Below are 22535 nucleotides of genomic sequence, written 5' to 3'. Positions count from 1 at the left end.
GCTCAAGTATACCCAGGCTGGCAGTGGACCAGCATGACGGGAAGCAACGCATTGAGCTGAGAATGGGCTTCTCTTGGGGAAATTAAAGGCAGGACTATTCTGAGAAGGTTGGTGAGCCTGTCTTCAGCTGCTAAGAGCTAATCTCAGGGATTAGGATGCAGGCATCCTAGGATAAGAAATATTTGAGGATTATCTGGGGAGAGGGCAGAGAGGTCCAAAGACAGAAAGCACAGATTATTCACCTCTCACAATCGCCCTTTCATACTGAGCTGTGATTCCTCCTTGTGCTGGGAGAACAGGAGCCTAGATTGTATCTCCCAGCCCCATGGCAAGCTTTTGCATGTGCTTGAAGCTGGATCGCTAAAGTCATTATTCCTTTCACTGAGTCCTCACAGAATTCCTTTCAAAGCTGGAAATTGCAGTCTGAGAGAGGCCGGGTCATTTGGTGACCATCACACTAGGACCCCATACCACAGCCACTCAGCTTGTGGCAAGTGCAAGGCTTCCAGCTGTGCCCCAGTGACCCCACCCCCATCCAATGTGATTATGATCCACATCACAATCCGCACCACCAGAAAGGGGACATGAGCAACGCATTCCACTTTTTATGGAAATCATCAGTGGCCATTGACCATGGTAACTCTATCTGCTTATTACTTCACTGAAACCAGAGTTTCAGTGCTAGTGGTTAGAAATGCTGGGCTGGGAGCAGGTAGGATGTGGAAGGAAGAAGTTAAATAATTAAATAGATATAATACCTTTGTTTTAAACAATCCCTTTAATTTAGATAAGATAACCATAATCTTTTATTTCCAGATAGTCTTGATGATAAAATGCAAAAAAAAAAAAATTAAGGAAATGATTCAAATGGGTAGTTGCACATTGGAAATTTTAATTTGCCCAAACGCCCAAATGCCAGTTTGCTGCTGACCTGAGGGTCCCCCTGCATTCCCTGATGGCTTTGGCATAGGATCTCTTTTTCTTCCCTAAGGCTTTAGCTTCTTTCCTCCATTCACAGGAGCCTGATCCTGGAAAGCAAAGAAGTAGGCAGAGATTGCTAGTGGGCACTGCTCACCCCAGAGCCCAGCTTAAGTACACTGTTATAACTAAAACTTGATTATGGAAAGTCATGAGTAATTTCTGTATTATAACAATTATGGGACTCAAAGCCAGGACTCACTCCCTCAGTCAGTTCTCACGCTGATTTCAAGGGCTCCCCAGGGAATATGGTTCTAAGTTCGTTTGTGGGAAAAGACTCCCTTCTTGAGGTGGCATTTTGTTTCGTGACCCCTGCTGGACCTAATACCGCCCTGAGGAGAGAGGCAAGAATCATCACCAGGTTGGCATCCAGTCCTCCAGCTCAGAGCTCAAACTTAGGTGAGGCCCTGGGGTACCTAGACCAGTTAAGGGAAGAGAATTTGGGCCATCCAGGGCCTTGGAAGCCACCCAGATCCCTGGGAAGTCCACAAAAGACCAGACATGCCAAGGCCGCCCCGTTCTGCAGCACAGATGGAGAGTCCTAGTCTTTGGAGTCATCTAGGCTCAAAGGGTTACCACGTGTTCAGAAGGACGGGAAAGATATTTCACATAAAGAGACCAACAAAAGCAAAAGCAGATATAGGAATAAGAACAGCACGGAAAAAGGCCTGAGTTCTGCCCATCATGCTGGAACAGAGGTTGGGCTGGGGGTGGTGGGAGATGAGTGCCATGGCCTGATAAGGGCCTGGTCCTATTCCCTGTGGGACCAGTCCAGTGGCATGCTGTCGGTACTCAATAAGTAGACTATGTGAAGTTGCAGTTTAGGGCCTAGATTTACTACACAAAAGACATGGCTGATGGGAGGAGGTGATGAAAGCATGCCTAATTTGGGCAGGTAATCCAGACTGCAGCTAGGGACTCATTAAGCAGCATTGTTCAGGTGAGGGTCAACAAGGGGCCTAGGCTAGGATGCTGGCTGTGCAGCTGGGGAGAAGAAACAGATGCCAAGGGTATGAGAAAGGAGAATTTGAAAGAATTTGGTAACTGACTGAAGGGAATCTAGCCAAAGGAAAAGGTTAATGAACTATTTTACTCTTGGGGCTTTTCATCTCTAAAAGCTTGATATGACTTATAAACACTACATTTGTTCAGCAGAGATGTTTATTGAGAGCCTCATATGTGTTAGGTAACTGCGTTAATCACTGGAGATAAAAAGATGATGCCACCACCTGATGATGATCCATACTAGGAACATGGATAGGTAAACAGAGAATTACAGTAACTTGATAAATACTAACATAGGGAAAGTGCAGGGTACTACAGGGACCTGCAGGAGAGGGTGCCACCCAGGCTGAGGACTGCGGAAGCGGGTTAAGGAGAAGCAGGATGTGGGGTGAGTGTTCCAAGGGACAGCTTGTGCAACAGCTTGGAGGCAAGAAGACAGCATGACACTGGAAGGACCTCTAAAAAGTATAATTATGGGTAGACTGTGAGAGACCAGACCTGCTAGAAATGCCTCAGTGAGGAGTTTGCCTTTTATCCTAAAGTCCACGGGAGAACCATGGAAGTGTTCCAAGTAGGTGAAGAGCAAAGGCAGCTGCAATTTAGAAATCCAAGTGGAAGTTCCTTGACAAACCAGAGGTTTATCTTCTTCAAGCATCCCTTAGGATACCAGGATCATGAAGCAGGTGGAAAGCCATCTGTCCATGGAATCAACTCTGCCCGAGTCTTTACAAGGGGCCTGTGGGCATCCAGGGCCCTCCACAAATGGTCCAAGAGGAGCTCAGACCAAAGGCTTAAGTGAGGCTTAGGAAGAAACCCATAGGAACTGTCATTGGAAAGATTAAAAATTTAACAGAGTTGAAGAGCATTTCGCCTCAATGGGCAGAGGGACACTATCCTAAAAATCATTCATTCACTATAGCCAAGTGGCTAAGAATGCTGTCTCTGTCACAAGACCTTGATTCTTACCTTTATCCCCCTACTTACTAGTTTCTTTGACCCTAGGCAAGTGGTTTCAATTCAGCATCCTCATCTGTAAAATGAGAACGACTCTTCATACCTCAAAGGGGTTGCTTTAAGGACTGAGAAACACAATGTAAAGTTTCTAGCGTATACATCAGGAGCTCAAAAAAATGCCAGCTATTGATTTTCTTTCATTAAACAAACAATTTAGCATCCTGGTCACCTTCTAGGGATGACAGATGAAAAAGACACAACAGATTGCCTTGAAAAGCTCCCAGTCTATCAGCCAGACAGGTGCACTCTCCAGGCCAGGTGCATCTTCAGGAGCCCAGTTCAGTTCTTGGTGATCCACAACAATGGCGGGCAGCCAGGCTCAGGACTCTTCTGCAAGTGAGCTGGGCCCACTGGCCCCACCCATGGCTGCTGATCCAAGGCCAGGCTAGCTGCTTCAGTGAAGTAGGGGAAAGCTGTTCTGCTTCCTACAGTGCAGATCCCATCCAGCAATAGCCTCACACTCTGCATCAACACCACCTCAGAATTAAAGAGCAGCCAGGCGCAGTGGTTCATGCCTGAAATCCCAGCACTTTGGGAGGCCAAGGAGGGCAGATCACAAGGTCAGGAGTTTGAGACCAGCCAGTTCGAGATCAGCCTCTGGCCAACATGGTGAAACCCCACCTCTACTAAAAATACAAAAACTAGATGAGCGTGGTGGCACTCTCCTGTAATCCCAGCTACTTGGGAAGCTGAGGCAGAAGTGCTTGAACCTGGGAGGTGGAGGCTGCAGTGAGTCGAGATGGCACCACTGCACTCCAGCCTGGGCGACAGAGCAAGACTCTGTCTTGGGAAAAAAAAAATCAAAGAGCAGAACAGAAAATGATCCCTGAGCCTTGGAATAAAGCCTACTTTTTAAGGCACCTGAAACCTCTAACTAAAAACTGCCCTCTGGCTGCACAGAAAATACATTCGATGGAATTCCCACCTACATTATATGCGGTCGCCTGGCACTGAGAGTAGGAAAGTGGGGTTCTGATGTCAACATCCTTCTCCCTGGTCAGCAGGATAATATATCCAGATGATCAAATCTAGGGACTATGAGGCCCCAAACAGCCAAAGATCTAGATTAGAAGATCCTTAGGAACATAAATTATGGCACTTATCCTGGTCCCTTGTAATGTGTTTTATCTTGCTATCACTTCCACTGCATTCTAAGCTCTTATCCATATTCCCAACACTTATTGTTAAGTACAGCATCCTCTCTGTACAGTCAGGCTTAAGAAAGGTCTACTGAACACTGTTGAAAAATCCATGGTGAAGATCCCAGTATCTTGATATCCCCAGGAGGCTCCAACTAATGTCCTATACTCTGTATGGAGTTTGTGAGTCATTCTTCTCTCAGCCACACACATACACACACAGGGAAAAACAATGCAAAAGGAACAATTTAGATTAGGCAATTAGGAAGTTCTTCCAAAAACTCTAAGTGAACTCCCAATAGATAATGCAAAATTCACTTCTTAAGCTATTTGTAAGATGGTAGAAGCATCTAGTCTCTCAGCTCTGAAATCTGACAAGAAGCCATAGAAGTTCAGACCATACAGGATTTCATGGACATGTTTAAAACGAAAAAAAAATCAAATAGGCTTAGTTTTTTTTCAACATTTAAAACTTTTTCCTTGTAGCATTTAAAGTGAATAATTCTCGTATACCCAGGAAAGAATCAACACCCATGATACAGTCAAACCTAAACCATTTATCACACCTAAAGAGAAGATGCTCTGGTGCGTCATGCCAATGCCTACATACTACTCCCCAGTCACCCGAACAATGAGTACTCAATGCTACGCTTTCCTAGGCCTCTGTTTTCTCCAGTTACATAAATGTAACACAAAAGGATGATGCACTTGGAAAATGTCTTCAGCCTGACAAACGGCATCTCAAATTGATTTTATTGGGGAAGACAAAGGACTGGATTTCTAGGGTTGTTTCTAGTTCTAGGATTGTTTCTAACAGTAGTTGTGTGACTTTGAGTAACTCCTTAAGTAAGGTAATATTTTAATACAGAGAACATGCCTAATACTGCCCCAGACACCTAGTAAATGTTTGCTAAATCAGAAACTTTTACCATTGGCCTTGCTAAATCTGACACTATTCTAGACCCAACTAATGAATGGCATAGTAAGTGTCATTACCAGCAACTTGCCCCTATGTGACAATGGGCTAATGCATTCATTTATTATTAATGTGAATCTAGAAGGTGTTTTGTGGCTGCCCAGGATGAAGCAAAACGTCCCAGTGAAGTCAAGAATTGCCAGTGTTTCTAGAAACTTCTGTGGGCAAGAAGCTTTGCTTGCCCTCCAGAAAGAGAGGGATGAGGGGAACTGGAACACTTGAGCCACCTATAAGGATGCATCTTTAGTGGGCACTGTGGTTCATGCTTGTAATCCTAGCACTTTAGGAAGCCAAGGTGGGCGGATTACGTGAGGTCAGGAGTTCGAGACCAGCTTGCCCAACATGGTGAAACCCCATCTCTACTGAAAATACAAAAATTAGTCCCAGCTACTTGGCAGGCTGAGGCACGAGAATTGCTTGAACCCAAGAGGCGGAGGTTGCAGTGAGCCGAGATCACGCCATTGCACTGCAGCCTGGGAGCCTGGGTGACAGAGCAAGACTGTCACAAAAAAAAAAAAAAAAAAAAAAATAAGAAAAGAAAAGAAAAGAAAGGAAAAGAAAAGAAAAAGGATGAATCTTTAAAGTGATTTCATATCTATTCAGTTGAGTTTACCTATCCATTTTAGTTATGTGTATAATCCAGGTAGAAAAACTCCCATTTCAATCCGGTTTATTAGAGTCATTGTTGCTGAGCCAAACGGAATATAAAGCCATCTTCATGGGGCTCTCCTTCGTCACAGCCACACTTACATAATAATCACAGCAGAACCAGTTTAAAGAAACAGTATAATAAAAATTGCTCCAGAGTAGTATGATTCCATCATGAAGACAGCTAAAATATCAGGTGATCTATTTGTGTCAGTTTTACGGACAGCTTTGCATTGCATTTCAAACACAAAATGCCCACATACCTTAAAAATCAAATTCAAAGTGATAACTAAAGTAGAAGCATGCTTATGTTTTTAGAAATATCTTCATCATGGAACCTGCATGAGAAGGAATGTTTAAGTAAAACCAAGCTGCCAAGTAAACACTTAGAAAAATCATTAACACAAAATTCTATCTGAAGGGAGATGCTAGAATGACTTGCCAGTTAATTTTAGAACAGGAAGCTGATGATCATCAAAATGAGAAAAGTTAAACTGAAAGGGCATCAGTGAACACTAAATGGACCTGGGTTTCCTACAATAATCTCCAATTTCTGGAGGTTTATCATCAATGTAGGTCTCTTAAAAAGTTGGTAAGATAGCCAAGGTAACCAAATGATTTTTCACTTAAACAGTATCTGGCGTACCACCTAATATTTGGGAAAATTAGAACAAAATCAGAAGCTATTAAAGCTTAGGTGATGCCCTATAATTTCAGCAGTTTTTCAGGTCAGTATGTTCATTAAACTTGAATGCACAGCATATATATTTCCCTTCCTGAAACATTGGATTTAAAAAATTTCCTCTCTATGTCTACTTCAGCAAAATCTGGATACATGTTATCTTCGACATTTAAACAGACTTGCCAATCAAACTATGAATTATAAAGTTTAAAATCAGTAAATGGATTCACTTTTAAATTATGCTAACAAATCTTAATTAGCATTCAAATCTTACCTGAAGTCTAAAATGTTTGACTGACATGGTTTTAAAATTATAAGACACCCAATGTTTTAGAGAATCTGGATAGGAGGTTTGAAACCACACAGAATCCTTCCCAGAGGTAGACTGAGAAAACAGAGCTATGCTCATCATCTGGGCCGTCCTTGAGGATGTTATAGTATACTTGCTGTGTCAAATTACTGGAAGGGTAAAGGCAAGGTTATTAAGGGAAACTGACTTTAACATAGTTTTTTTAGATCATACTTTTGTTTACTTTATGAAGAAGACAGAACTAGTCTTTTTTTAAATTTTATGGGGGGACAGGGTCTTGCTCTATCCTCTAGGCTAGAGTGCTGTCCTGAGATGATGGCTCACTGCAGCCTCGACTTCCCAGGCTCAAGTGATCCTCCCACCTCGGCCTCCCAAGTAGCTGGGACTACGGGCACATGCCATCATGCCTGGCTAACATTTTGTTTTTTTTTTTGAAAGACAGAGTCTTGCCATGTTGCCCAGGTGGGTCTCGATCTCCTGGGCTTAAGCAATCCACCCATCTCAGCTTCCCAAAGTGCTGGGATTACAGGCCTAAGCAACCATGCCTGGCAGGTACTTGTCTTACAAAGCTCATCACAAGATCTTAAAGCTCATCACAAGGGCTTACATTTCATGTGAATTCATTTAATTTTTATAATGGGAAAGGCAAGGCACAAATGTTTAGATGACATCCACGGTAATACCTGCCCACCTCACAAGATTGCACTAAGGACCCAATTACATAATAAACATGAAAGCACTTTATAAACCAAAAAGATCTAAGTAAACATAATAAATGCCTAGGTTCCTACAGTAAAGAATGAAACTATGATTCAGTCATGGCCACTGCTTTTATCTGCTTCTCAAATATTTATGGGACAGAAATCACCTAGAGGACCTGTCAAAAAGAGGGCTCTAATTGGGTAGATCTGGGCCAGGGCGGGCCAATAGTCTGTGTATCTACCAAGTTCCTGGGTGATGCCAATGCCAGCTTCTGGGGCCACCCTTTTGAGGAATGAGACTCTAAAAGATCATCCTAATTCCTGGTGCATGGTCAGCCTTAGAGAGTATATTTCCTGAGTATATTGCAGACTTTGGTTATCCTTAAAGTGAGCTTTGGGATAAGTCTATATACTACATCTCATTCTGAATATAGTACTTTACAAACTCAGTATCAAAGTGTTCTTTCTTGGGCAACCAAAGAGCTAAAGGGTTGAATTTTAATTAGCTTGTCTGCTATTCCGTTTTCCAGGACAAGCGTCAACAACATGTGAAAGCATAGAAAGCTGTTTTGCCAGTTCACTATTAAATGATTTCAGTTCATCTCAAAAGGGTGGTGGGAGGTAGGGAAGGACCCTGAACTTGTAATCACATCCCCCTCTCCAAAAGAAAAACCTGGATTCTCAAAGATTTCAAATTAACAAGAGACCAACTTGTCTTCTCTATCTGGAGAAATGGTCTCAAAATATCCAGGAGAACAAAACCACCTGAGCAAACACGTAATTTGCAGAAACGCTGATGCTTCCTGATAGAGAAGTACTCTAGACTCAGACCTGACAGAGAATAAAAAAGAAACCCACAGCCCCTGTAGGGCAGTGGTTCTCCAACGTGGGCATGCATCTGAATCAACTGGGAGGGCTTGATAAAACACAAATTGCCACACCTCAAGAGTTTCTGATGGAATACGTTAAAGGTAGGGCCCAGGATGAGACTGAGAGTCCCACAGACCAAGCTGAGGTTGGTCTGAGTCTAGCACTGAGTCTAGACAGCAGCCTTCCCAAGAGGAACCACGTCTCACTCACAGCTGCACACCAGCACCAGCAGTGTCTAGTAGCACACACAGTTGGTCCCCAGTAAATATTTGCCGAATTAATGACCATTATAACTTTCATTTCCAGGAACAATTTTACTACTTGCTTATGTATACTTGCTGCCAAGTATCTTATATACAGATTCATTTAAAAAAAAATTACACATATGTTGGGCACTATAGCCCTTAACCTTAAGGGGTCCACAGTTAAATTAAATTGACCCCAATCATAGACACTAGTATCACACTTTTTCCTTATAATACCCGGACAGTTAAATCTTAAAGCCTTCTGCCACTGAAGTCGAAGCAGACAACTCACCTACCTAAAGAACCCTAAAGTAAAACCCTGCTTAGTCAAAATGGAGCAATTAATTGCATACATACTCCTACCAAAAAAAAAAAAAAAAAATTAAGTAAAGACAAGAATTTGCCAGGGAGGAACACAAATACCTGTGCCCACACTGGAAACTCAGAGATGGTCTCCTTAAAGCCTCTTCCAGTTGATGCAAACCACAAGGCAGCCCAGGGAACAGTCCCAGGTGAAAATGCTACTAAATCTTTAAGGATTTCTTCTCTAAATCCTTCCACGTTCACTCAGCAAAGCTCAGAAAGAATTTTGGCAGTCATTTTTCAAATCCTCTGCCTGATCTGCATGTTACCATAGTCACATTCATTCGGAAAAACAGGTGTTTCTGTTAAAATTAGCTGTTCCAAACTGCCAAATATTTTAAATCCCCATGCCAGCTTTAAAAAAAAAAAAAAAAAAAAAAGTTAGGGCGCGGTGGCTCACGCCTGTAACCCCAGCACTTGGGAGGCCGAGGCGGGTGGATCACGAGGTCAGGAGATCAAGACCATCCTGGCTAACACGGTGAAACCCCGTCTCTACTAAAAATACAAAAAAAAAAAAAAAAAAATTAGCCAGGCGTGGTGGCGGGCACCTGCAGTCCCAGCTACTAGGGAGGCTGAGGCAGGAGAATGGCATGAACCCGGGAGGTGGAGCTTGCAGTGAGCCGAGATCCCACCCTGGGCGACAGAGTGAGACTCCCTCTCAAAAAAAAAAAAAAGTGTGTGTAAAATAACCAATCAGATGAGGATGGTGGGGGTGCGGAAGAAAGCAAATACACACACATAATTTTTGTGTTTCCTAACATCACCCATAAATGCTATGCTTAAAACAGGCAAAGAAAGATGGAGTTGTGCTTTTTTCTGGTTAAGTCTTATGTTTGAAAGACTGTTTTTGTTCCATTTACTGAGTTGACTATCATAAATAATGTCTTTTGTTCAAAGAACTTAGCAATCATGATTTCCTTTTCTCATGACCATTCAAAGGAAGAAGGTTCTCAACATTCCCTGGTCAAGATGATGCACATTAAGCCTGTGTAAGAAAACTTGCCCTCAGGAGTCAGAAGAACCCAAGGATTAATGTCTTAAATTAACCCTAGTTTAAAAATTAAAAAGCAAACAAAAAAAACAGGCCACTCTGATTTTATTCCTGGAACCAGTATCTCTGCTGACCTTATTAAACCCTATTATGAAATAGGTCTGAGACGCTGCTTTTTTTAAACATCAGGGGCTATTTAAAAAACAAGTTTAGCAACCTGGGACATTAGAGAAAAGTTAAAATGTCAAAGACCTGTGCCCAATCCCCTTGCCTAGCATTCCTCACTCTGGCTTCTTGAAATCTGCTAGAAAAAAAGTACAAGCAGAATTCACTTCAAGACACCTGCTGGAAGAAAAGCCCTGAACTTTATGTTATAAATGGGAGGTGGGGGGTGCAGGAGCAGTGAAAACGCTTAAGTTTAGAACTTTAATCAACTTCAGAGAACAGAGATTATGCATGTTACATGACCAAACGTAGAGCATAAAGAAACACCAAGAGCAGCTATCATTTAGGTAAGAGGTTTCAAAATTCACTTAGTGACTAGCTAGTTAACTTCATCCAAACAGATAGGGAAAGTGATTTTCTTTTTTTTAATTGGCTTGAGTTGTCCTGAAAATCGCTTCTGCAAGGAAAGAGTCCAGGAAAAAACTGGCAATTCTTTTTTTCTTAATCTAATACCAAATTTACAGATTTCTGGCCCTTATTTTACTTAGCGTTTGTTCCTTTCAGTTTACTCTTTGTGATCTGCATAGGATAAATGAAAATGAACCATATAATCAAACTCCATCATTACTTGTGTACATTCAATAAATAAAAATTTCTATATGCATGCAGGATTGTCACTGGCACATGAATTAGAATCCCACCTCCCTTTCATCCTGAACCCCATCCCAACATTAAGGGGCAGAGGAAAGGAATAAAGATGCTCAAGGTCATTTTCATCTTTTAAAGTCTTCAAAAACCCGAAGTTTACCAGGATTTAACAGAGAAAAACTGCTCCCATGGTCATTTTTTTAAAAATTTAAGTACCCTACCACTTTAAGACTTTTTCAAATTTCAAATTCAGGGTGGTGAAACAGTCCTACCCTTACCCAACACAGGTTAAAGACTTTTACACGTTGTATTTCATGTCATTGTAATAAAAACAGCGATTCAAACAAGTAAAATAGTCAATATGACTTTTTTCTCTCTCTCTTAATGTATTACAGTGAAAAATGCTTTCTTTTCAGATCTGTGGGAACTGCAAAGGTTTAAGCACAACAAATCCCAAGAAAAATGTAAATGGAACAAATCTAAACCACGTACGAGTTTTTACTCATGTGGCTCTCCCAGGCTTCAGGCACTGTAAATAGATTTGTTGTGCTTTTAGTGGGAAGATATTCAGAATTTAACTAGGTTCAACAAAACTATACACTCCACCACCACTCACACAAAAAGACTCCTAAAAATGTCTGCAGAAAAGACAAACTACCTTAATATTACTCCAAATTCCAATCAAAGATTCTTCCAACATACAATCAACCATGGCATTATCTTAGATCAAGGTCACAAAAACAAGCCCTTGGCCTACAATCATGTTGTGGCTCTAGAACGTTCTTAACAAGCTTTCCAGGATACTTCTTTCCTCTATTAAGCAGTCTAGGACCCTCTCTATATTTTTTCTGAAATCATGAGGATCTTGTCTGAATAGACCTGTGTACATAAAAGATGCTAACTATTCTCACTTGATGTACAGTACTTTTAGAGTTCCATCCAGAGACTCTGAGTTGGGAAGGCTGGCATACCACACAGGATTAGGATTTAATCTGAAAATGATAGGCAGAATACAAATCAGAATTCAAGCAGCCTGAGCCACTGTTCATGATGATGGAAAGGTAAGTGGAGACAAAGGGAGCTAAATCACTTTCCAGGAAAAATGAGACAAAACCGTCCCAAGCACTCTACATAACCCAATCCCATTTGTGTCACCTGCCTTTTAAAATAGAACGTTACACATAGTCCTCTCTTCAGTTCCAGGCTGCTCAAGGGAGTACTTCTTGAGCAGTACTTTTTCTTGAGGAAATAGTAGAAAGGGCTGGGAATTGGGGGCCCGCCTCACTACTATTGAAATAGCCTTCCCACAGACCCTTCCCATACATGACATGCAGCATGCAAAATTACAATTATTGAAAAATCAACAATAATTGCAAAAAGCCATCTGAGAAACATAACATTTTAATAGATGAAATAAATACTCCAGTACATGCAAGGTAAAAACTTGACGTTGGGGGAAAAAAAAATCACTCTATAGTGTAAATTAAAAAAACACACGCTCACAGTAGCTTCCCCCCATTTGCAAATCACATGGCAAATTCATACTCTTTCCACACCAAGTATACTCCTAATTCAACACGATTGCTTAAAAAAAAAAAAGACATACAAAAAAAGGTAGCTACATCCATGTCTAAGGAGTGAAAACTGAGGTAACCTTTCTTTTAATTAAAAACACAAAAAACAAAAATGAAATGAACCCATGACCTCCTTCCTGCCCAATAATGAAATTTAGTTGAGAAATTCCGGAAGACGGGCTGGGGTAGGGGGTGGGAGTGATAACACAACCAGCAGATGACATATCTTCCAGTCCCTACTGCATGGGGGCTGGTGGAGAGACACCTGGGCCCTCCAAGTGCGTGTGCAGGTTGCGTGCATGGCCCTGCCTTGTGGAAGATTCCTCTCGAGCATTTAACGTTGGGGAGGGTAGGGGGTTTCACCTATGATTTCTTTGGTATAAATGGAGAGGGGCAGAGAGTAAGTATCTTCCTTTAGTCTGGGGGTGGAAGAAGGGGTATGGGGGTGGGGTGCTAATTCACAGAATTGGAATTCACTGGCGGTAAAGTCCTGGGCGAAGACCTCTCCCTTAAAGCCTGAGATAGCAGGGTGCAGCCTTCAGACACGGCGCAGGCCGAGTTCCTCAGCCTCTCCCTGTGGTCCGACATCTTGGCGCCCCCGTCGGGGTGCTGCGCCAGATCCCTGAGGCACTGGGTCAGGAGCACGCAGGCCGACACCACGCTCATGGCGCCGCCCAGGATGGCGGTCTGCACCGCCTTGCCCTCGGCGCTCACAGCTGCCGCGCGACCCAGGAACTGCGGCTCGGTGGCGAAGCCTACCAGGGCGCTCACTGCCTGCACCAGGGGCCCGCTGAAGAGCGCACAGCGGCTGCGCGCCAGCTCACTGGGCGCCACCTTCACCTCGCGCACGCAGGCCAGCAGCGCCGACGCGCTGGTGCTCATGCACTTGACGCCCAGCTTGAACTGCTCCCGCGAAAAGCGGTCCCGTGACTTGTCACTGGCCAGGGCGCACGCGTCCGTCAGGAACTTGAGGTTGCGCGACAGGCCCTGCGACACCTCCAGCAGCAGCTGCGGCGTCATGTCGGCCAGCGGCGTGGCGCGCAGCACGGCGCAACCCTGCTCCACCTCGTGGCGGCATCGCGTCACGCGGTAGCGGTCCACCAGGCCCGGCTGCGCGGGCTGGGCGCCCGGCGTGGCCACAGCGGCCAGATAGGCCGCGTGGGCCGAGCACTCGGTCAGCGACACCACCAGGTCGCCCAGCTCCACCAGGCTGTCCCCCGCCTCCCCGAAGCGGCCCATGTTGAGCTGGCTCTGCACGTCGTGGGTGAGGATGGAGAGCCCCTTGGTGCGCGCGATGATGGTGTCCCGGCACTGCTCGAAGGACTCGGCGCCGGCACCAGAGGAGGCGGGGCCCTCGAAGAGCACGGGCCGCGCCTCGCTCGACAGCAGCAGCAGGTCAGCCACCAGCTGCATCTTGCCCTTGCAGTGGTCGCAGACGGATACCAGCCTCTTCCGCGGCTGCGAGCTGGCCCCGCCGATGGCGCTCGCAGGAGCCGGAGAAGCCGCCTCGCCAGTGGGCTTCCCGGCGCTGCCGCTAGCCATCGCGCCCGGGGGGCACTGGCATGCCGCTGGGGAGCCCGCTACCACCGCCGCTGCCGCGGCCACTGCCGCCGCCCCGGCGGCCGTCGCGACTCAGCTGGCCAAGGCCGCGGTGCCTTCCCCGCACCATCATGCCATCCACCGCCGCGGGCAGAGGGCACTGGGCTGCGGCGGCGGGAGCCCGGGCGGCGCGGGGTGGGCCCGAGGGCGAGAGAACGCGGAAGGCTCTTCGGGGCAAGGGGAGGGGCTGCAGCTTTCGGCCTCCTAGAGGGCTTGCAGGAACCATGAACCGGGGCAGAGCAAACTCACTGTCCGCGCTCCTCGTCGCCGGGCTGCCAGGAAAGTCCCTTCTGCTGGTTCGCCGCCGCCGCCGCCTTCTTGGGCATGGCCTGGCGCGGCCCTCGGAGCGGGGAGGGCGGGACGGGGAAGCTGGGAGTTGTCCTTCCTTCCTTCCTTTCTTTGAAATCAAAATCCTTTCCTCGGGGAGGAGCGCGGGAGGCAGCTCAGGCGGGCTGTGCTGTCAGCCGCCGCGCTCGAGGCCACCTCGGGCTCGGCGGCGCACGTGGGCTTCAGGCGCCGTGACCCCACCAGGCGGCACTTCCCCGCGACGGCGGCCGGGGCTGGCTCTCTGGGACGCGCGGCCGCCCCGGGCGCATCTCCTGCCTCCAGCTCTTGGGAAGCGGCGCCGGCGGCAGCGGGGCAGAGGGTGTGGCCGGCACTGTCGCGGCCGCGCCGAGTCAGAGTCGGGCGGGAGCCTGCACTGATTGCGCACAGCGGCCGCCCGGATCGCGCTCAAGCTCTCGCCCGCCCGCCACACGCCCGGGCGTGCCGAGCACCACGGCGGCCCCTTCCCGCCTCGCCGGTTCACAGAGCGCGGCCCGGCGCCGCGGCGGCACGCCCTCCCAGACCGCGCGCCCGGCGGCCCGGCGCTGGCTGTCTACGCAAGTCCATCCCTGTCGCCTCGTCTGGGGCCCGCAGCAGCTGAGCTCTCCCGAGGCCCCGGGCCCCGCGCATCGGACGCCCCTGCACGAGTCTCCCTGCCACCGGGCCAACTCAGAAGGTCCCCGCGGCGCTGCGGCAACCGGCCCGGGCCCCGGCTCCTGCCATTTTTGTCAACCGCCAACTTCCGAGCGAGCGGGCAGAAACTGAAAGGAAGGGCGGGGGCCGAAAGGCAGAGGGGAAAACACCCGCTTCCTCTCCGCGCGCGGCTTCACCTCGGAGCGCGGCCGTGGCTGCGCCGCCGCCCGCAGGGGCTGCCGGAGGCTTTTCCTGTTCCCGTCCGCGCCTCGCCCCCGGGCTCGCCGCCGCCGCCGCCTCGGCCGTAACCTCCCTGGAGCCTATAGAAATCTTTTGTGTGGCGTCACCGCCTTTCGTTTAAATCCCGCTTCCTCCTCTCGCCCTTCCTCCCGCCCCCTCCGCCGCTCCCGGATGCTTGCGCGATGCGCTGCTCCTCCCCCGGGAAGCTGGGTGGCTGCGGGGGACGCCGCCGCCCAACGCGGACGCTGCCGGCGTGGGGCCGGTGGTCCTGAACTCCCCCGTGGTCCTGGGCCGAGAGACTGGGGGAGCGGACAGGGGAAGGCCTGCTCCGGCCCGGGGGCTCTGCGCACACCCATGGGAGACCGGGGCGCAGCCGCCCGCGGGCCTTACGTAAGCTCTTAGCCGGACCAGGGGGCTCCACGCTTCCTCCCCGCCAAGAGAGCAAGTCTAAAAGGTGACCTGGCTTCTGGGCTGAAGGGAGGAGGACACTGGATTTCGGCCCCTGGTGATTTGCTGGGGCCGGTGGGTCGTCTCGGTCTGCGCGACTTCGCCCGGTTTTCCAACGCCCCCTGCCCTTTGTTGTGTTTGATCCACTTCCACGATGGGTTTCCGACCAGCAGTGCAGTGTAACGAAAAGAGGAAAAGAGCACTGGATGGGGAGTCCGAAGAGTGGTGCTAGATGCCTGCCCGTTCCTCCCTTGAAATACGCCTTATGCAGTGAGAGCGCGGGTTCTGAAGCAGATTTCCTAGGATCAGCCTTTCTCAAGCCATTTATGAGTTCCATGACATTGTTCAAGTTCTCTTTCCAAGTATCCGTCTTCTCTTCTAGAAATTAGAGATTGTGCACAGGCTGCTTGAGTACTTGGTTCCTAAACAGTAGCTGTTAGAATTATTATGAGCCCTGATCAGCGCACTTTGCCCTCTCATAACGTCTATTTATTCGTCTGTATAATGGAATAATAGTGGCTGCTGTTAAATGAATTAAATACGACGGCGTTTGGAGGGAAACATTACTACTCCAGTTTTACAGATAAGGAAACTGATGATCAGGTGCTTGAAGTGACTTCCGAAGATCAGGAAGACAGCATATGGCAGGGACAGGAACCCACGCCTACGCCCCAGCCTCTTTTTACCGAACCTTGTTCTTCAGGAAGTGGTTAAAACACCTGGGCTACTCCCAGCAAAACGCCAGTCACGCAGTCCTGAAACAGGTCCTCTAAGGTGCCCAGCCCAACACAGGCTGGGCGTGCTGAGCCAACAGAATGTTTGTTCCTCTGTCCCTTCCTAGAACCCCAAGTCACCTTTCTCCAGCCAGTTAAAAACGTTACTTTTAACTAGGATGACGTTTCAATTTATCGGCCATATCCAAGCATTTCTGAGAATGAACTGTGAGACATGCTATTAATAAATTAACCATGAACAGCAGGTTCAAACCTGGATGGATAGTCATCCTACTTATAACTGAAAGTATCCTTAAATATCTTTAGAATCCGGATGAGCCCACTTAGTTTGCAAACCGAGGTCAATAAAACTGACTTGAAATAGGAAGTAATTATGTAGGGTTAATTCCTTTTTTTCTTCTACAAGAGAAAAAAAAAACAGCTGGATAAGTCAAGGTTTTTCCATGGTGACCCAGGGATTGCACCTTAGTCCTTCTTAAGCTCCAAAAACTTATGAGAGGGGGCCGAAAGCGATGGCTCACACCTGTAATCCCAGCACTTTGGGAGGCCAAGGCAGGCGCATCACGAGGTCAGGAGATCAAGACCATCCTGGCTAACACAGTGAAACCCCGTCTCTACTAAAAATGCAAAAAATTAGCCGGGCATGGTGGCGGGCGCCTGTAGTCCCAGCTACTCGGGAGGCTGAGGCAGGAGAATGGCATGAACCCGGGAGGCGGAGCTTGCAGTGAGCGGAGATCGCGCCACTGCACTGCAGCCTGGGCGACAGAGGGAGACTCCGTCTCAAAAAAAAATAAATAAATAAATAAATAAAACTTATGAGAGGGAAGTCAGACTGTTCTGTGCCTAGTTTATTCTTGAGGCTGCTCTAAGATCAGATTTTTTTTCCAAAGCCACGTAGTGCCCCTGGGGGTCCCATTTTCCCTTTCTTCTACATATGCAGTCTGTTTTGTTGTTGATGGAAACCCACCCCGACAATGAGTTGTGTTACACACAGACTGTCCACTCTATTCAGTGAGGTTTGGTTTCATTTTTAAAACTGATAGCATTGTTTTCTCGGCCTTCCCTGCTTCATTTTTCAGATAGGGAAGCTCCTAAACTGATCCTCCCAGGCACTGCCTCCACCTTTCTTTAGGTTCACCTTTACTTTGTCCGATTGTTCAATCACTCCACAATCACTGGGCACCAGTCTTGTGCTAGGCACCAAAGTTACATAATTTGTAATATGAGGCCCCCACTCTTTAGAGTCCAGGGATAGGAGTAGATTCACAAGAAACAGCCACAATTTCACTATTGGCACAGTGAGAGCACAGAGTAAAAAACCTATAGCAGAGATAATCAGGCTTCACAGATACAATATTTGTAGGTAGGCAGGGCCATGTGGTTCTGTCTGACCAATGAAATGTAAGGGGAAGCTATGCAGGTTACTTCTAGGCTGAGACAATGAAAAGCCAATCTGTAATTCTCCACTCTCTTGCCCTCCTATAACTACCACGGAGACTGCATTCTAGTTGGTGGAGCCTCTGTAAGCTTAGGTGACCATGTGGAGCAGACCCTCTTGATCTGTAGTGGACATGCAATGTGAACACAAAGTAAATTATTGGTGTGTTAAGTCACAGAGATTTGAGGGTTGTCTGTTGCTGTTGCATATTTTTAGTCTAATTAGAGGATGGCTTGTTGGTGTCTGCCCTTAGAGTCACTCAAGCAATGGCTTTTTCTTTAGAAAACTCCACCTATTACCCCTTCTAACCCTCTCAAAATTAAAATAAATATAAATCAAAAGTATTTGCTGTGATCTGACCCCCAAATTCATATGTTAAAACTTAATCACCAGTGTCACAGTATTACAAGGTGAGCCTTTGGGAGATGGTTAAGTCATGAGGTGGAGCCCTCTTGAATGGGGTTAGTGGCCTTATAAAAGAGGTGTGAGAGAGTTGTTCACCTCTTTTGCCCTTTCATCATGGGAGGATGCAGCAACATAGAGGACGCATCATCTATGAGGAATGGGCCCCTGCTGGGGCCTTGATCTTCTACTTCCCAGCTCTAGAGCTGTGAGCAATAAATTTCTATTAGTTATAAATTACCCAGTCTAAGGTATTTTGTTATAGCAGCTCAAATGGACTAAGTATTTTTTTTTTTAATGGATGTTGAGTGAGAGAAGAAAGCGGAAAATGTGTGGACTGAGGATTGGCTGAGGGAAGGTAAATGGAGTGGATGAGAGGGAGCTGGTAAATGGCCTGGCCCCTAGAGAATGCATTCTCAATACTGGCTCAAGGCCTACACTGAAATAGGCATCTGATGAAAAGTAAGTGAACAAGTTGCAAAGAGAGAACTGAGGATTTGGGCAGGACAAGAGGAACTGACAGGTTGAGACAGGCAGGATTGGGGAAACATCTTTTACCTCGTCTCTTGCCTGTTTTAGAAGGTGCATCCACCACTTGGTATAAGAGAACATTATGGGCATTCTGTTTTGTTTTTATGTTTTAAATCGTGGTAAAATAGCATAATATCATCTTACCCATTGTTAAGTACATTATCGTGCAACCATCACCATCCTCTATCTCCAGAAATGTTTAATCTTGCCCAACTGAAACTCCATACCCATTAAGTAACTGCTCCCCACTCCCCCTTCCTCCAGTCCCTGGCAACCACCATTCTACTTTCTCTATGAATTTGACTACCCTAGGTACCTCATGTTAGTGGAACCATACAATATTTGTTATTTTGTGCCTGGCTTATTTCACTTAACATAATATCTTTTTTTTTTTTTTTTTTTTTTTTGAGACGAGGTCCGGCTCTGTCTCCCAGGCTAGAGCACAGTGGCGCGATCTCGGCTCACTGCAAGCTCCGCCTCTCGGGTTCATGCCATTCTCCTGCCTCAGCCTCCCGAGTAGCTGGGACTGCAGGCACCCACCACCACACGCAGCTAATTTTTTTTTGTATTTTTAGTAGAGACGGGGTTTCACTGTGTTAGCCAGGATGGTCTCGATCTCCTGACCTCGTGATGCGCCTGCCTTGGCCTCCCAAAGTGCTGGGATTACAGGCATGAGCCACGTGCCCAGCCTTAACATAATGTCTTTAAGATTCATTGATATTATAGCATACATGGGAATTTCCCTTCTTTTTTATGGGTGAACGGTATTCCATTGTAAGCACTCCGGATCTTTTCATTCTATCAAAAATTTATTTATTTATTTATTTAGTAGCGAGAAAGTCTCAGAGACACAGTCTCACTTTGATATCCAGACTGGTCTCACACCCTTGGCCTCAAGTGGTCCTCTCACCTTAGCCTCCCAAAGTGCTGAGATTACAGGTGTGAGCCTGTCTGGCCACTCTGGGTTTTGATACCCAACTTTCACACTACCCCACACTTTACAGACCAACAACCATGCTGTGTTTGGTCTGTAGTGCCACCTGTTGGTCAGTAAGAGGCATTCTCTGCCCTAATTATTTTTCCCTTTGGAGCAATGTCCCTCTGTTTTGCTTTTGTGCACACAGATGGGCCAATTACATCTCAGGCTATCTTTCTTATACATATGCATTATTTCCCTTTCACTATCTGTTGTAAAAGAGAGGAATTTATATCTCTCCTTCTTTTCCCCAGATTCCTTCATTGTCATAGGTGATGCATGACAACAGCCCCTGGTTCACCAGGGAGCAAGATCACTGTCTAACACCTCGCTCTCCTTACCTGGCATGTCCTCTTGCTCTCTGGCATATTTTGTTCCCATCCAGTAAGAACACCTGGGCAGTACCTCACACATCACTCCCATTTCCTCCCCAGCCCCACTTTCCACCCTCCCTTCCTCCCTCCATGCTTTCTCTCTGTTCACCTGCAGCTGGGTGTGTGAGGGAGCCCTGTGTGCTGGACCAGTTATACCTTGGCAGGCACACCTGAGCATGCAGGTCCTGAAGTCTAGGAGAGCTGGAATTTTCTGCATTAGTTTACCAGAGCACCCTCCATGGAGGCAAAGTTTGCTTGCACAGATTAATAAATTCTGTACCCCATTCATTTACTGGCCAGCCATCTTTGGATGTATTTTCTATTTTCCAGCATCCTGAAGAAGAGAAAAAACAAGTGCTAAGTTTCAGGCACCCTGGTCTTAACACTAATCATGCCTGACCAAGTTTTGACATCTCTCATGGTGCCTAGTAGTCAGTAACTACAGAGTGATTAGATGTATTGGTGCCTCACAAGGAGGTTCCCTGATCTTTCAGACAGACCCAGGTATTTCTTCCCCCCCTTGTAGCTACTATGATGCCTGCTCAGCTTCAGAGTGGCGTCAAGTACTTGTAACTGTTGGTGTAACTCTCTCCACAACCCTATCATCTCTGTAAGGGCAGGGACTTGATCTATGCATCTTTCCCCCACATTTAATGTATTCAGTGTTTATGGCATTAATAAGTTAATGAATTATTTTATCTGTTAAGTCTCTGTGCAAGAAAGGTGCCCTTTTATTGAACCAAACTCTGGCTGCTCACAACTTTTATTCAGTAACGGACAGAAAGTCATGGATATTCATGAAACAACAGCAGGGGTACAGTCTAGGTCTGGTCATGACCTAACAGCTCACAACTCTTAAGATTGAAGGGGAGGCCTGAGGCCTGTTTGCTTAGCAAGTGTGTTCACCTCATTTTTCTTACAGCTTGTTTGAGATAGTCCAGGGAGGTGATTCTTTGGAAACAGACTGAATTTTCTGAACATAACTGCATATATCTGTGCTGCAAAGTACATGTAATTTTTTCAGATGACACAGATAAAAGTCCTGCCTTCTTCAGAGATTCAGATCTCATCCCCAAATTTTCAAGGCCATTGCACTATTGTAGATAATTTGAATTACATGTATTATTCTGATAATTTCCATTGAAATTAGACTTTTCACCCTTACATATTGGTGGAAAGAAGGGTATCAATTCACATTTTGTAAGCAGCAGTGTGTTTATGTGTGTCTCTCCTTTTAAAGCACAAGTGGGCCAGGCGCGGCAGTTCCCGCCTATAATTCCAGCACTCTGGCAGGGCGAGGTGGATGGATCACTTGTGCCCAAAAGTTCTAGACCAGCTTGGGCAACATGGTGAAAACCCATCCTTTAAAAAAAAAAAAATGCACTTTGGGAGGCCAAGGCGGGTGGATCACGAGGTTAGGAGTTCAAGACCAGCCTGGCCAACATGGTGAAACCCCTGTCTCTACTAAAAATACAAAAATTAGCCGGACATGGTGGCATGTGCCTGTAATCCCAGCTACTCAGGAGGCTGAGGCAGGACAATTGCTTGAACTGGGGCCCGGGAGGCAGAGGTTGCAGTGAGCTGAGATCGCACCACTGCACTCCAGCCTGGGCTACACAGTGCAACTCTGTCTCAAAAAAGAAAAAAAAATGCAAAAATTAGCCAGGTGTGGTATGGGAGGCTGAGGCGGGAGGATCCCTTGAGCCTGAGAGGTGGAGGTTGCAGAGAGCCAATATCTGGCCGCTGCACTCCAGTCTGGGTGACAGAGCAAGACCCTGTCTCAAAAAAACAAACAAACAAAAACAACACACCACCACTGACGTATGTTAGATGTGAAGAAAAATAGAAAATACAGAGAAAAGGTTAAAATATTTTGGAATCTCACTGCTTAGAGACAGCCATCGTATACATATTTGCAGCTCTTTTCCTATACATAGATATATATCTGTATAATTTTAATAGCATTTAAAATCATATAGTATAAAATGAATATCTTTAGTAGCAACAAATATATATATTTGATTGCATATTATCCATCATATGTGTGGAATACAGCTTGCAACTGTAAATGTAGATTTTATAGTCTACAATTTTTGAAACACTTAGAGTTGTTCTCATTTTCCCCACTCATGGAGAGTGTTATAGGATTGTTACATTGGGTAAGTGAAGAAATACACGGAAAGCACTCAGCAGAATGCCTGTCGAATAGTAAGTGCTCAATATTAACATTACTATTATTTTCATTGTCTGTTTCCTCAGAGTCAAGTTCTTGGAAGTAGACTTGCTAATCATATTATGCACTTTTTTGTGGGGAGGGGGAGTTGATACATTTCACCTAATTTTCAAGCAGAAAACTCCATCCCCCGAGAAGTGAGTGAGAAGACTTCTTTCCTTAGCCTTGTCAACAGTGTATACTGTCTGTATTTTTATCCAGGATCAACTGATAATTTAAAAATTATAACATGTTTGAATTTGCATTTTTTGATATTAGAGAGATTCTGTGTTTTGTTTTGTTTTTGCCACATGTG

General features: G+C 46.2%; 2 protein-coding genes and 1 non-coding gene across 3 annotated transcripts, besides 5 other annotated features; 1 reads left to right on the top strand and 2 right to left on the bottom strand.

Annotated features, from left to right (window-relative positions):
* On the bottom strand, positions 10335–15200 carry TLNRD1 (talin rod domain containing 1). Its single transcript, NM_022566.3, has one exon. The coding sequence runs from the start codon at positions 13849–13851 to the stop codon at positions 12763–12765; it is 1089 nt and encodes a 362-aa protein (NP_072088.1). The 5' UTR covers positions 13852–15200; the 3' UTR covers positions 10335–12762.
* Positions 12525–13409: an enhancer, noted in NCBI's record as "H3K27ac-H3K4me1 hESC enhancer chr15:81295055-81295939 (GRCh37/hg19 assembly coordinates)". NCBI's record gives its function as "activates a minimal SCP1, AML or CMV promoter by ChIP-STARR-seq in naive H9 embryonic stem cells {active_cell/tissue: H9 hESC(naive)}" and the evidence as "EXISTENCE:reporter gene assay evidence [ECO:0000049][PMID:30033119]".
* LOC128071545 (uncharacterized) lies at positions 13844–13981 on the bottom strand. The gene has a single exon (NM_001414893.1). It carries the CDS (start codon positions 13979–13981, stop codon positions 13844–13846), a length of 138 nt encoding a protein of 45 aa, NP_001401822.1.
* Positions 13903–14032: a silencer, noted in NCBI's record as "silent region_6741". NCBI's record gives its function as "represses an Ori minimal core promoter by ATAC-STARR-seq in GM12878 lymphoblastoid cells {active_cell/tissue: GM12878}" and the evidence as "EXISTENCE:reporter gene assay evidence [ECO:0000049][PMID:35858748]".
* Positions 14383–14842: a silencer, noted in NCBI's record as "silent region_6740". NCBI's record gives its function as "represses an Ori minimal core promoter by ATAC-STARR-seq in GM12878 lymphoblastoid cells {active_cell/tissue: GM12878}" and the evidence as "EXISTENCE:reporter gene assay evidence [ECO:0000049][PMID:35858748]".
* Positions 14883–15572: a silencer, noted in NCBI's record as "silent region_6739". NCBI's record gives its function as "represses an Ori minimal core promoter by ATAC-STARR-seq in GM12878 lymphoblastoid cells {active_cell/tissue: GM12878}" and the evidence as "EXISTENCE:reporter gene assay evidence [ECO:0000049][PMID:35858748]".
* Positions 18066–18567: an enhancer, noted in NCBI's record as "NANOG hESC enhancer chr15:81289897-81290398 (GRCh37/hg19 assembly coordinates)". NCBI's record gives its function as "activates a minimal SCP1, AML or CMV promoter by ChIP-STARR-seq in naive H9 embryonic stem cells {active_cell/tissue: H9 hESC(naive)}" and the evidence as "EXISTENCE:reporter gene assay evidence [ECO:0000049][PMID:30033119]".
* On the top strand, positions 18650–18706 carry MIR4514 (microRNA 4514). Its single transcript, NR_039739.1, has one exon. It is a non-coding gene; the product is annotated as a microRNA 4514 (primary transcript).

Source organism: Homo sapiens, chromosome 15 (assembly GCF_000001405.40).
Source record: "Homo sapiens chromosome 15, GRCh38.p14 Primary Assembly".
Classification (NCBI taxonomy): domain Eukaryota; kingdom Metazoa; phylum Chordata; class Mammalia; order Primates; family Hominidae; genus Homo; species Homo sapiens.
Note: the sequence above shows the minus strand (reverse complement) of the source record. Positions and strands in the feature narration are given on the sequence as shown.

Bases quoted from the DNA above. Each gene is read 5' to 3' on its own strand.
- TLNRD1 (NM_022566.3), bottom strand. From the start codon at position 13,851: ATGGCTAGCGGCAGCGCCGGGAAGCCCACTGGCGAGGCGGCTTCTCCG.
- LOC128071545 (NM_001414893.1), bottom strand. From the start codon at position 13,981: ATGATGGTGCGGGGAAGGCACCGCGGCCTTGGCCAGCTGAGTCGCGAC.